The following is a 14122-nucleotide window of genomic DNA, read 5'->3' as shown; positions in this document are numbered from 1 at the left end:
AGTTAATGTTTGCTGTCATTACATTGACTGCAAAAATTCATCTGTAGAAAACATTCTTAGCTTTCAGGCCTTAGGAAAACAGACAGTGGGCCAGATTTGGACCGTGGGCCATCATTTGGTGACCTTTTAACTAGACTGTGGACTGAGAAATCCCTAAGCAGGGTTACTTGCCCTGGATATTCCTTCTCATAAAGGCTCATTGCTCTAAGACTGGAAAGGGAAGATGTTCAAATGGGATTTGTAGGGTGGAACCACCTTAGGGAACTAGTGAACATAAAGATAGAAGAGTAGTAAGAGAGAAGGGAAGGAGAGAGAGTTTCTCTCTGTTCAGGGACCAGTGGTGATTAAGGGGCATGTGCCTTGGACGTCATGCTGGGAAGGCCCGAATCAGGTGGTGGGTGGGGATAGAGGTTTGAAAAAGCTTATTTAGGATCCCCATTACTTTTGTTATTTAGCTTCCTGAAATGAAGGGCTCATTATCTTGGCCATCAGTGACATACAAAGATTAAGGGACATGGCATTTGGGATGGGATCTGGTTTCTCAAAGATCATGAGTCATCTAATGGAAAAATAGGTGACTTGCAGCATGGTGTGGAGTCATTTTTTCACCTAAATTGAAACAAAAGGTTCCAGGTTGGTGTAGGGGCAACACTGTGAGGCTGCCAGTGGCTGTTAGGGTAAAATTAAGGGAATTATTAGGAATCTACAGGTTTTAAAAAGCCAGCCGCTTTGTTCTTCTGGTAGCTGGAGGGAAAGCAGGGACCCTGGGCCAACTCCACAGGGTGGGTGGGCACTGTCTCCTCGTGGCTTCTCCATTGGTGTCATTGGACACCAGACTGCCCAGACCTTGGTACTCTTAGAGCCCCACTCCATAGATTAGTCACCCCACTTTCCAGGTTTGCCAGTCCCTCTCCAGCCACTCTGCTCCTTCTCACTCTTTGTGCCCCATCACTATTGGGGTCTACAGGGTTTTGGCCCTTCTCTTTACATTCTTTGCATTTTCCCTGAGCCAACTCAGCCACTCCACTGGCTTCATTACTTTCTTTCTGCCAGGGGTCACAGAGATGATCTAGAATGATCTAATTCTGTCCATTCGCCTGATAGACGTTGCCCAACAGGCGATCCTCTGCCCATCCTCCCCATCCCAGGCCATGACACTGTCACCAACTGAAACAGACCGCTGGGGCACATCTTGAGTTTGTCCTCTTCTGCCACCTTCCCGAGTCTGATCTCTCCTCCCTATCCCCCCACCCCACCACGGGTGCCAGGTCTTCTTGGAGTACTGCAATGGCTTCTTTTTTTATGTTTTGTGATGGAGTCTGGCTTTGTTGCCCGGGCTGGAGTGCAATGGTGCGATCTCAGCTCACTGCAACCTCTGCCTCCTGGGTTCAAGTGATTCTCCTGCCTCAGCCTCCCGAGTACCTGGGATTATAGGCACACACCTACACCCGGCTAATTGGTAATGGTTTCTTGTCTTCCTTCCTCCAGTCTTGCCCTGTCTCATCTGTTTTCCCATGGCTTCCAGTGTGCTTTTTACCACATTAACAATCGAATCCTTCCGTGCCCCTACTTTAAAATCCTCAGTGCCCACTTCCAACTTCATAATAACCCCCCAGATTCTTAGCCTGGCCTGGGCTCTTGTGAATTCTCTGATATTCCAGCCTCAGCTCTCCCTGTCCCTGCCCCACCCCCTTGGTGCTCCCACAATGCCCTGGGCTTAACTGACCACCTTCAGCTCTGACCACATTTGGCTCTGCGGCCACTGCTCATCTCCCCACCTTTGGCACATTGTGGCACCTGGCAAAAACTTGTTGGATGAAGGAATGACTTCCCCAACAGTGAGGCGGCTTAAACGGCAACCCATCTAAAGGGGAGGGCCTGGGGTTAATACATGATTCCTGTCACACAAACTAGGTCCTTATGCCACCTTGGACTCACTTGTGGATTTCAGGACCTCTGCATGAGGAGTTGAAATAATAGTCTTCAAGCATCTACCCTCTCCTCTCTGCTTTACTTTTACTCTAAAGTGGAATGCCTTAGCATCTTTTCATTAAAAAGTTAGTTTAAAAAATGGTAAAATAGTATATGGTCATGTCAAAATTTAAGCAGCATAGAAGGCTATAAAATGAAAAGTTATTCCTTCTTCCTCTGTATGTTTCTATATGTATAAAATTTCTGAAAGAACACACAAGAAACTGTTAGAAGAGAGGTTCTCTCTGGAGAGTGATCTGTTGACTTTTATTAATAAAATCTGCTGTGTTCTCAAGGTGGGGAAACCGAATTCTGGACCTGTGAGCAAGCAGCTTTTTTTTGTGTAGGCCTCTGTGAGAAGAAACTTTTAAAAGTGGTTTATGGTTTAGAACTTGGTAGGGGGCATGATAGACCTCATTGGGACAGGCTGTGGCCTCTTGTTTTTGCTCCTGACCCTGAGAAGTAACTTATCTCTTAAGACTAAGTTTCTTCAGTTTACACAATCAGATGAGAAAACCCACCCTTGCCTTTCTCTAGAGCTGTAGTAAAAATGAATGTTTCTTTAAAGAGTCCTTGACAATAGATATGTAGCTAAGTATTACATATGGATGGAAATACCATATACATGCATGTATAGAGATGGTGTATGGGGAAGCTTTGTCATGTTCTCTCTAACCATTCCATCTCTGTGATAAAGTATGGAGAGCTTTACCCAGTTGCTTAACTGTGATTCAGAATGAAATCACATTTTCAAAACTTTGCTTAATTTATTAAAATTGATCAGTGTTTTGGATCAACATTTGGGAGGTATGGAAAGAAGAGGCAGGAGACATACATAAGAAGCTTCTTGGACATATGTTGAATATATGTGAGCAATATTCAGATTTTGCAGGGAGGAAAGTGAGTGGTACCAAGATAGTGTCCTGTACAGGGAGTCAAAATTGTCTTCTTCTGTAGCCGACCCACGATGCTTTGGGTGCTTCTGTGGCCTTCCCTTTACATGGATCTCAGCTCACCGCATAGCTTTATACACCACATAGCTCCCATACAGTGTGACTCAGGCACTTCCTTGTCATTTAATTTGTTATGACCAGCATGTTTTGAGTTTGTAATTCAAATGTGTAAAATTTTAGTTGAAAATACTCCTTTTAGGTGGTTGCAAGTGAGATTCCCTAAAAGAAGGTAAGAAAAATGACTGATGTTAAGCTGAGAGAAATCGGAATACGGTGGTTTCCAAAATGGGCTTTTCTTTCCTTTCTTCCTGCCTTTCTTTCTTCTTAAAATCATGTCTGCATCCAGAAGCATAAGGATGAGAGACTTCTAACCTTTCCCTGATTTCAACCTAATTTCAAGGAGAAATAAGGGTCACACAAGGACAATGTATTTATCAATGACCAATATCAACTAAGATACATGCATTATTCATGTGTTTTGAAATTGATTTATTGGCTAATGTAGGCGCAACCATGTTTAGCAACATCCAGAATTTACCACTGAACTTTCTTTTTAAAAACTTTCACTTTTAAGGGATTGGGAACAAGATCTAATTGATAGAAATGGAATTTGCATGGAACTTTTCAGGAATTCAGCTTTGTACAAAGGGCCTTGTGCAAAGGATTAATCCAAGAACACAGGCTTTTTTAGTGCCTTTACGATGGTCTCCTTTCTTTGTGGCTTATTTTTGTGCTTTAAGTGTCTTTGGAAATGGGATGAGAGGAAATCAGAGAACTCTTATGAACAAGATATGAAAACACTGATCATTTACTGCCACTATTTAAAGCACACACAGCTCTCTGAGCAGTGAAAGATGTCAGCGGCACTTTTGAAACAGATTAAGTATCTGTGGCTCAGCAGTAGGACAGGTTTTCAAAGAACACAACTGAGGCTAAGTATGTGACAACTGATGTGGTGTGGTAGAAAAGAGTCCCTGTGTCTGCTCCGCCTCCACCAATATCGCTTAGCTATGGAACTCTACACAGTTCAAGGCCTTTGAGGGAGGAATTTAATTTGGCTTCATAACAAAAGAAATTTAAGACATTGAGTAGAGTAGTTTAATTATATTCCATCTTTACATACTCAGTACCTTCTGTTTTGCTTTGAAAACTGTCATGGCTAGAGAATGAAGTTAAAAATAGTCACTGCTGTTTAAAGCGTATTTTACACATGTAGCTGTGTACATTCTCTTGCTTTGTGACCTGCATATAGGGATCCTTCTGGCAGTCAGACACGAAGAGTCAGTGACCCCCTTTCCTCTCCACCCCAAAGCAGTACCATGCAGAACCCAGATTTTTTTTTTTTTTTTTTTTTTTTTTTTGAGACAGAGTCTCTCTCTGTTGCCCAGGCTGGAGGGCAATGGTGCAGTCTCGGCCCACTGCAATCTCCGCCTCCTGGGTTCAAGCAATTCTCCTGCCTCAGCCTCCCGAGTAGCTGGGATTACAGGAGCCGCTACCACGCCCAGCTAATTTTTGTATTTTTAGTAGAGACTGGGTTTTTCCATGTTGGTCAGGCTGGTCTTGAACTCCTGACCACAGGTGATCTACCCGCCTTGGCCTCCCAAAGTGCTGGGATTACAGGCGTGAGCCACTGCACCGGGCCTTGGATTTTTGGCATTCTGGAATTTTGGCATGGTGGGGGTTCTGGCTGGAGGTGGAAGCATCCGTCTTGGCCCCACTGGCCTTGGGGCCAGAGCCCTGGTCCATCCCCAGGCCAAGTCCTACCAGATCAGCTGCTAAGCCTGAACAGCACTTGAGGGCAGGGTTGGTCTTCATACCTGATAATGAGAAAGTGGAAATGGCAATATAATTCCCAGTCTGTGCATAACGGTAGTTTTAGAATTGGATGATTTAAAACAACAACAATAAAACAAAAGCTGAGCTTTGGTTTCAGTAAGGTTTTAAAGTGAGGTTTCTGAAGGGATTGTATTATTTGCTTGCAAGCCTGAGATTCACTATTCTGAACTATGGGTAATAAAGGGTGATTCAGGTATATTGCTTCCAACATACAGAAAAGGGCCAGAAATTACCCATGGAGAAAGATTTCTTTCCATCTCATCTTCTATTTTACATTTAGAAGGGTTTGCGTTTGATGTTAGACCAATGTGGGGTCAAATTCTGGCTCAGCCACCGACCCTGAGTGACCTTTTAAGTTACTTAACTTTTCCCACGTTTCCTTTTCCTCATCTGTAAAATACTTCCCTTAACAATTTTGTAAAGATCAAAAGAGAGAATGCACAGTATAATCCCTCCTACACTATATGTGGTAAGACAGTTATAATTCCTCTATGTTGTATGTGTTAAAAAGTAGCTGCTGATGTTACTATTTTTATGAGAAAGCCCATGGACTTTAAGATCAGAGAGCTTTGGTCTTGAATTTCAGCTCCTTAGATAAAGTGGCCCATCCTCTGAGATCTTCAGTTTCTGCTTCTATAAAACAGGAATGTTGTGAGAATTAAAGGAGGCGGAAAAAGTCTGGTACCTTAGACCCTTTGTGAGAATTTGCCCATGTTGTTTTCTCAGCAAGCTGCAAAGCGTAAATTGCTTTGATCATGGTTCTGAAAGGAAGAGTTGTCTCCATCACATTTACGAAAAGGCAGAATTAGAAGTGACCAAAATTCAGTTGTTACAGGTTTGTCCTTTAGGGATGGAAATTCAGCCTCAATGATTAGTTCTGGAGAAAAGATCAGTGCCTAATTTAAGGAAATGGTTTTTAAAGCTTCCCCTGCTTTGCTAAAGAAGCAGTGACGTCAGGCAGAAAAAGGGTGGTTAAAATGCAAAGTAAGAGACTGCAGCAGTGGTCGCCTCTAAAGAGCTGTGATTTCCCCTACGTAGTAGTGGAGTCTCTTTCTAATGCTTTTTAAATGAAGAGGTGACTATGGGCAATCTCATAAAACAGCCCAATACCAGGATATGGAGAAAACGTGAACATTAAGTAATCGTGCCCCAGCATTCTCATAGACTATAACAATATTGGCTCTGAGCAAAGTAAAACACCATTCCCCCTCTGGTTGTTGGTGATCCCGGGATTGAGGGGTTAATAGCAGGATCGGTGTGGATATTTTTGGCAATAGACGTGAGAAAGCTGTGGCAAGCTTCCCTGTCAGGGTTTAGACCTGATCCCAGGTAAAGGAGGGAATCTCTCTGCCTTCTGGAGGCTTGCTTCTCGGCAGTCCTGGGTTTCGCCTTCTCCTTCTACCTGGCAGCAGAGCCACCTGAATGTCTCTTTGTTGGGTCTGGGTGGAGCAGGAGTGCTCGAGGGAGCACTCTCCAGCCCTACCCTGGCCACCTATCCTCACTGGCTGTCGGTTTCCTGGTACTGAAAGCATCACTGACCAACACAGTGAAATGCCCCAGTGATGAAAAGCTGTCCCCACCAACACTCCAGCTTTGGATCCTTCCTTGCCCATCAGCACTCAGGAAGCCCTTGAAAGAAGGTGAACGGAGAAAATATTGCCAGGGTTTCCCTGCAGATTGCCCGCCCCCAACCCAGCCCTCTGATTACACACACTAAGTGCCGCTCTCTGTGTAAATAACCTTTTCTTCCCTGCCTCCCTTCAGCCTCCCTGCTCCCCCTCCCATGCTCTTAGGCTCTCTCGCGTGATAAATAGCCAGGCTACTGCTCAGCATGCACTAACACCTGGGAATAATCATGCAAAAATAACAGTGAGAGACTGCCGCGCGTCTGTTCTTGACATTAACTTTCCTCGGTTTGACAGGCTGCCACCACCAGCTGTTAGACTTATGGGTCTTTTTTTTCCAGTGGAGATGGCTGCTTTCCTGCTTTCCTCTTTTTTTGGGTTCTAATAGGTTACATCAGTGTCCTATCAAGATGACAGAAAAGAGCTTTGACAAAGAAACCATTGCTAAAACAGGCCAGTTCTCTATTCTGATATTTTATTCCAGTTGTTAGTATTATTAGACTAATAATCCCCCACTGATTTTTAAATGAGGAATATCTGATTAGAACTATATTAGTGTTTCTCCCCTCAGAAAGGGATTTGTTGTTGCCTCTTGTGAATTGCCTTTGAATGTAGCAAATACTAGCATTTGGTCCCATAGGGCCAAACCACCTATCGATTTCAGGTCTCAGATATATTTGTAATAATGATACTAATATTGACAATAGCAATAGCCCCTGTTTATTGAGTGCTACCTTCTACCAGGCCCTGAGCTAAAGTTATTTGTATGATCTTCTGTAGTAGTCACATGAGCCAGATGTTATTTCCGTTTTACAGATGAAGGCACTGATTCCCCAGAGCGATCAAACTACTTGCTTAAGGTTTTGTAGCTAACAGTAGAGCTGGATTCCAACCCCCAGTGAAGACAGATCCCTGCCCCACCCTGTCTTCCATTAACACGCTACTTTTTGCTCTCAGGCCACCATGAAAGTTCCTTTGGTTGTAGTTCTACAATTATCCTTGTAATTTTGCTATATTTGTATGATTATCTGACCAGTGTCACAGTCTTGCCCACTACACAGTCAGTCCAGAAGGGCAGGGACCTGGTCTGTTTGGGCCACTCTTGTTCTAGCAGGTTGCACGGTGCCTGGCAAATGGCAGGTGTGTAGTAATTATTGGGTGGATGTGTGATAAGAGTTGAGGTGAGCTGACTGTTAGGGCAGCAGTGCATGAGAAAAAGCTGCAACTAGAGATTAGGAGGAGGAGATTCTGTAGTAGTACGGGACTCATCAGGGCCTTCATGGTGATCCCATCATTGCCATAAAATTGTAAAATGGAGGTGGGTTAAGCCAGTTGACTGCTGCCAGATGTCAGTGTATGAAAGAAGCAGTATTTCCCCAGGCTGAGCTTCTCAAGGTTAAGCCCCCTTTCTTGTATTTTTAACATACTTTAATTGCACTTAACCATGCATTTGGAGGGGATTATAGATTTATGTTAAATATAGTAGGATATAAAAAGGAGCTTTGGAAGGTTGGGTGCAGGGTTAGGGAACTATAATATCAGACCAGGGACTTTTAAGCCAGTGTTTACTGACCTAAGCACTATGCTGAGCATTCACTTTGCACGGATTATCTCACTGAGTCTTCACTGCAACGCTTGTGGGGGTAATTGTTATTATTACTCCCATTTCTTAGAACTAGACACTGAGTCTTAGAGAAGAGAAGCGCGGTAACTTGCTCAGGGTTCCACACAGCAAGTACTGACAGGGTCAGCATTTGAACCCAATTCTGTCTGCTAACAGAACCAGAGGTTCAAGTCCTGGTATGCTGCCTCCTCACTGGAGGGAGTCCTTGTGGAAACTGTTGCCACCCTCTGCCTTAATGACCTTCATTGGCTGAAGAAATTATGGTTCAGTGTATGGATCACTGACCTGAGAAACCAGGGTGCAGTGGAGTTGATCTTTTGTATAAGGCAAAAATAACTACTGAAAATGCTTTAAAATCCTCCTTTACATATGATACATGTGACTTCACGTTTGACACTGAGATACACAAGAGAACTGAAACCTTTTGGGGGGAAATTCTTACCTAGCAGAAAGAATTGGCCACACTCTTTGAATTACTTCCCTTCCACCCTTCTTCTGTTTCCCAGTGTATGTTGAACTCCTGTCAATTTTCTGCTTGTGGGATGCCATCGTTTTATGTGTACCTAGGCTGCCACTAGAGACAGCTTATTACACTTGTACAAATATGGGCCACAGTTTTCTCTCGACTGAGTAGGTTGGGCTAGGCGACATTCTGTGATTGTTTCAGGCAGAGGGTGGAAGCACAAACTCCAGCATTCTCTGGTTGGGCAAGTCACGTGGCAAGGCTGCAGTGAAGCTCAGTTCTGTCAGTTGATGCCATGAGGAATGTGGGCCCAGGAGAGCACATAATCCAATAATTATTTTACGAAATAGGAGAAATTTAAATTCTTTCCTAATTTATTAAAGTGTTGCTAAAAAAAACTGGAATGTTTTAAAAAGTAACATACCTGCCAAATAAAAACACCTCTGGGAGTGGCTGTAATCCCCACCTGCAAATCCTGTTCTTGCTGGCGACCTCTAAGGAAGAGGGGCCTATGGTAGACCACACGGGGAGACTTTGTGCTCCACCTCCTCCCCAATCCCGACATCTCACAGTGAATGGGGAGAAACTGCGATTCTCCTCTCATTTGGTTCTCCTCTCACTGGTAGTGCTGGTCTGGTACCTATGGGAGTGGCAGTTCTGAGCCACCATGAGAAGCCGATACTACAGTGAAGAAACGAAGAAATTCACTTGTGCAAGTCAAAGATGTGAACCTCAAAACAATAGTAACTGTCAGGTTTAAGCCTTAAAAGCCTTAAATAGTCTAAAGACTATTATCACATCGGAGTGCTATTTATGATTAAGTGTATATTTATAGTCAAACTCTCTGAACCTTAGCTTTCTCATTTTAAAACATGTTGAACTGGACTCAAAAGTTCTTGCTATAAATATCAGTTCAACTTTCATGTTACATTTGAATTGTGTTAATGGTAACAAACACAATTAACTTACAAGTAGGCCCAGAGTACTCTGGCTTCTCCCCTCAAGGCATCCAGATTCCATAGAAATTTGAACTTGGAAATTACATAAATATGAGAGAGAGAGAGAGGGGTGTGTGTGTGTTTCTGCATGCAAATATATCTATAGATGGAGTTATGTTGAAATAAGGATTTAGTCTAGAAGCTGTTGTGATAGGATATGTCATCAATATTAGGCGGCTGAAAAGTGCATTTGTTGTTGCTGTTGTTGTTGTTTTTAAGGGACAGGGGCTTGCTTTGTTGCCCAGGCTGTAGCGCCATGGCATGATCATAGCTCACTGCTGCCTTGAATTCTTGGGCTCAGTTGTTCCTCCCACCTCAGCCTCTCGAGTATCTGGGACTACTCGCATGCCACCATGCCTGGCTAATTTTTAAATACTTTTTTATAGGGATGGGGGTCTTGCTGTGTTGCTCAGGCTGGTCTCCAACTCCCAGCCTGAAGTGATACTCCTTCTTGGAGCTCCCACAATGTTGGGATTACAAGTGTGAGCCACTACACCTGGCCAGGAATGTGTTTTCTAGTTGAGGAAAATGGGCCTCAGAGAGGTTGAATGACTCTCCAGGGTCATAAGCTAGTTAATATCAGAGTTGGCGCCAATCCTAGTGTTAGTATGTCTTGCCACCATAACTGTCATTGCCCCATTGTGTTCTCACCTCCAAATCAGAGAACTGATACGCTATAAGACTCATCTCTAATTTTATTTCATTTTCCTATGCATCCTATTCAAGCTACGTTTGTTCTCTTGGTATTAATGTAGGCTGTTGATCAGGTGATGTGAAGAATATTTTCAGAATAATGTTCTATTTTTTCTTTTCAATTTATACATGTGACATCGAATTGCAGTCAGTTTACAACTAACTATACAAATTAAGAAGCTGGAAAGCATGCAAAAAAAAAACCACTGGTTTATAATTTTCTTTGGTCTTTACTTTTAATTCTGGAAAGTGATTCTAATCTCAGACAGTCTTTTAGTTGTAATAAAGACTACTAGGTAGCATTGTTTTTTTTCCCCCCTTAAATTTCCTCTCTCAGAACCCCTTTGTTCATTTGTCAGCTCAGTTTTAAAATAAGAACTATCAGTGTGAACTTTGATCCACATTAAGCTACATTTACACAAAAGCATAAATCACAGTATCTGGGGTTTGGGGCTGTTAAATGCTTTTCTTTCCTGGGCTCTGTGATCAAGAATGCAGAACAATAAAAAGCGTGGAGCAAAAGAAGTTTTATGGCAGCTTTGAGAGCAGGAAATTAAGTTTTTTTAACATGCAGATGGGTGAAAGGCTGTTCTGTTGCATCTTGGATCACTCAGGCAAGTGAACGTCAGTTTATCATTTTAGTGAAATGCAAACTGTAGAAATAGTTCCTACAGTCATATGAACAAGGAGCCCACACAGATGACTGCTTCAGCTGTTTAACTAGGAGCACACTTCCTCATATGACTCTTGAAATACACTCTTTTTGTTTTGTTTCTTTTCAAAAAAAAAAACCAAAACCCAACAAAGACTATATACTATTACGCCTGCAGCCAAGTGGCTACAAAAGATAACTTACAGTGAACAGCAGAATAAGATAATATTTTACCAGAATGATCTTCGATGCGCCCTTTTTACATATAGGATTTGTTAGCCCAACTGATAATACATGCAAGGTGTCATCCCTTAAATGTAGGCCGTTTCTATGTGCAACACAAAGACATAGGTAATCTGGAGTCTTGGTACAAATGGGCTTTGTGTGTGGCATTTTCACAACCAATAATCAGGGTCAAAGCTATCTGTAGCAGTCCTAGCAGTTGTTACAATGGGCCAAATGAATGTACTGTTTAGTACATGGCATAGCCTTTGGTTTCATTATGGCCAGACTTTTAAACTTTTTGTGATGAAGAACTCTTTTGCTGCTCTCCTGGGGATAGCGGTGCAAAGGGGATGCCATTGCACCACAAGATCTTGTAGTTGGCTGCGATTTACATTTCCTGTATTTAGAGAGGTGGTGACTGAGCCTTAATCAAACTCATTAGGGATCTTTACCAGTTTAACCACGGAAGAATTTGTGCATTGGAAAAACTCAAGTTATGTTGATGTTGGGCACATGCATTTATCTCCCCCCTTATATGAATTCTGCTAAACTTTGCAATAGAATGCTTAATTAGGAGTTGATGCTTAATACATGCTAACAATATCCAGTTTTTGTGTTTCGGTGTAGATTGTAAAGTTTATGTATTTATATATTCAGCAAAGCTAATATATTTTAGTAGTGATTTAATTCATTATGGTTTATAAAGTTCTTTGAAAACAATTTTATTTCATCTCTTATACTTAAATTTTTAGTGTTTACTGGAGTTTCTCCTTTAGAAACTGTTATAATTTTTAAAGTGAGATTTCATTACATGTGAGAAGTAGCCTTAATTTTGCAAAACATGTTTCATTCACGTCTGCTGAGGCTAACGGTTGTCCAATGATGAATTTAGAAGGAGAAGGACACTGAAAACCTGCTTATGATTCAGGGAGCTAGCGCTCTCATGTTTAGCTTATTTGGCATGAAAAAACAAAATGCTCATTTCTATTCTCCTTTATATTTTGGCACCATTAAAACACTCAAAGCATATTATAATTGCAAATGGAATTTGGAATGGTGATATATTCTAGAAGTGATATAAGCAAATTGCATTAAAAGGAATTCACGGAATGCAGCACTACTGCAGTAAGCCTGTCTGTCTTTCAGGTTGACCCCCTGTTTACAGTGCCAGCGCCACCACCGCCGATTTCCAGCAGTCTCACGCCTCAGATTCTACCCTCCTACTTTTCCCCATCTTCATCCAATATTGCAGCACCGGTTGAACAGCTTTTGGTTCGGACTCGTTCTGTGGGTGTCAATACATGTGAAGTTGGAGTAGTGACAGAGCCAGAGTGTCTTGGGCCCTGTGAACCTGGGACCAGTGTGAATTTGGAAGGGATCGTGTGGCATGAAACAGAAGAAGGTAAATACAATTTATTTTTATATATTTCCCGATGCCCTCTTCCCCATGATGTATTTATGTCCACCTGTGAGGAGAATTTGTTTTGCGGTATTCAGAGAGGAATGGAAAGTGTTTTTTATTTCCGCTCTCTGGATTTGTGTTGGAAGTAAGAGCCGTGTTTGTCTTCTTGTGCATGGCTGCTTTTAAATTGCAGATGAGTTGGGTGTTTCTAAAAGTGATTCTCCTCTTTAAGTGCTAACATGGAAGGACTGTGAGAAGCAGGTGAGGGTTTACTCTTCCCCTAAAAGGTATTGTGGAAATTAGGAAGGGAGATAGATCTCAAGTTTATTTAATTCTTAGGGTGCCAACAAATGTGTCTGTCTTGACATGGTTGTTTTTGTGTTGTAGAGGCTTATATTTACTTTCTGAATTGAGCCAAGGTTCTTGCACATAGTGAGGATCATTGTCATGATGTGGCTGTGGCCAGCTGGTGCTCAGAAGTAATGAGGCCAGGGCCAAAGACTTAAGCCCTAGTAAGCCGGTCACTTCTCTTCTATGGCCAGAGACGTAAAACCTTTTCTGTTCCTTAACTCGGCAAGCCATTTGGCAAATGCAATCCATTAGCCACAAGAGAAACAAGGTTCAAAGGAAATGGATCAGGATTAATCTATCATTGCTATTGGAATATAAATCAGAGCATATGCCATGCTGATAGTGGATCCAAATCATGGTTGACCATGTCTCATAGCACATGACCACCAGGTATGAAGTGTTTCATATGGCCAGTGTCACTAACAAGCCAACCAATAATTGAAAACTAACTACCAAGAAGATCTGTAGTGCTCCATTGGGGAGTGAGTAGAGTAGAAGAGATAAGGAAGAAGCATGCTCCAGGGTGCTTCAGAGTGGACCAGAGAACAAAGAAAAATGAAGGGGTGGGGGAACTTTTTTTTCTCTGTAAGTTAGATCGGTCAAAGATAAGGGAGATGACAGTTGTTGATATCATGGTCATTTGCCAGAGGAGTAAGGGCAGGATGAGGGTAACAAGAAGGGTCTGAGACTCACAATTATTCATCAGATTCCTCTGAATCAAGGGAGAAAAACTGAGGGCCGAAACTCAAAGGGAGAAGGTGAAATGTATTCAAAAGTGGCTGAGTGGATGGGGAATATTGAGGGTAATTGCTGGGCAAGAAGTAGTTGAGAAAAAATAGTTAAGGATAGTGACAAACTGGGAAATGAAAGAAGAAGATAAAAATAAATGAAAATCAGATGACAAGTGTTGAGTATAATTCTTAAAAGATAGAAAACAGCTCAAGCTGTTTCAAGGTAGAAAACAAAGGTTGTTAGAGAACTCTGAATTCTACATATTACATTAAATATACTCTTGTGCGATATGTTTCGTAGTTAAATAAAAATATTTGTAGATAGCACTGGTAAGTATAAATAAAGACAATACACAAGAAAGAATCAGAGAAAAGGACTGAAAGTAGCTATGGTCAGCTTTTGTTTGCTCAGAGGGAAGTGATTAAAATTTACTTTTTTGGCTTTAGAAATTTTTGAGTTTTGGGTCTCTTCTTTCATTTTGTACTTTTAATTTGGGTTTTTCAGATATTCTGGGAAGCCATTTGAAACTATACTGTGGAACCACATTGGGAGGAACTGATGTAGGAGGAGCCAGAATTTGTCTCATCTTGCTTGTCT

At 42.0% G+C, this 14122-nt stretch overlaps 1 protein-coding gene across 9 annotated transcripts in view, besides 1 other annotated feature; it reads left to right on the top strand.

The window, feature by feature from the left end:
• The window catches only part of ZNF608 (zinc finger protein 608), a 111910-nt gene that overhangs the window by 35369 nt on the left and 62419 nt on the right, over positions 1-14122 (top strand). For 8 of the 9 annotated variants that reach the window (NM_001385621.1, NM_001385619.1, NM_020747.3 and 5 more), the window contains one exon: positions 12187-12442. In NM_001385621.1, the coding sequence (NP_001372550.1) occupies positions 12187-12442 (256 nt within the window). Of the gene's footprint in view, positions 1-1719; positions 1839-12186; positions 12443-14122 lie in introns of those variants that run through there. The other variant, XM_011543522.4, reaches the window with a different exon arrangement.
• Positions 3623-4362: an enhancer, noted in NCBI's record as "NANOG-H3K4me1 hESC enhancer chr5:124044787-124045526 (GRCh37/hg19 assembly coordinates)". NCBI's record gives its function as "activates a minimal SCP1, AML or CMV promoter by ChIP-STARR-seq in naive H9 embryonic stem cells {active_cell/tissue: H9 hESC(naive)}" and the evidence as "EXISTENCE:reporter gene assay evidence [ECO:0000049][PMID:30033119]".

Source organism: Homo sapiens, chromosome 5, assembly GCF_000001405.40.
Source record: "Homo sapiens chromosome 5, GRCh38.p14 Primary Assembly".
Classification (NCBI taxonomy): domain Eukaryota; kingdom Metazoa; phylum Chordata; class Mammalia; order Primates; family Hominidae; genus Homo; species Homo sapiens.
Note: the sequence above shows the minus strand (reverse complement) of the source record. Positions and strands in the feature narration are given on the sequence as shown.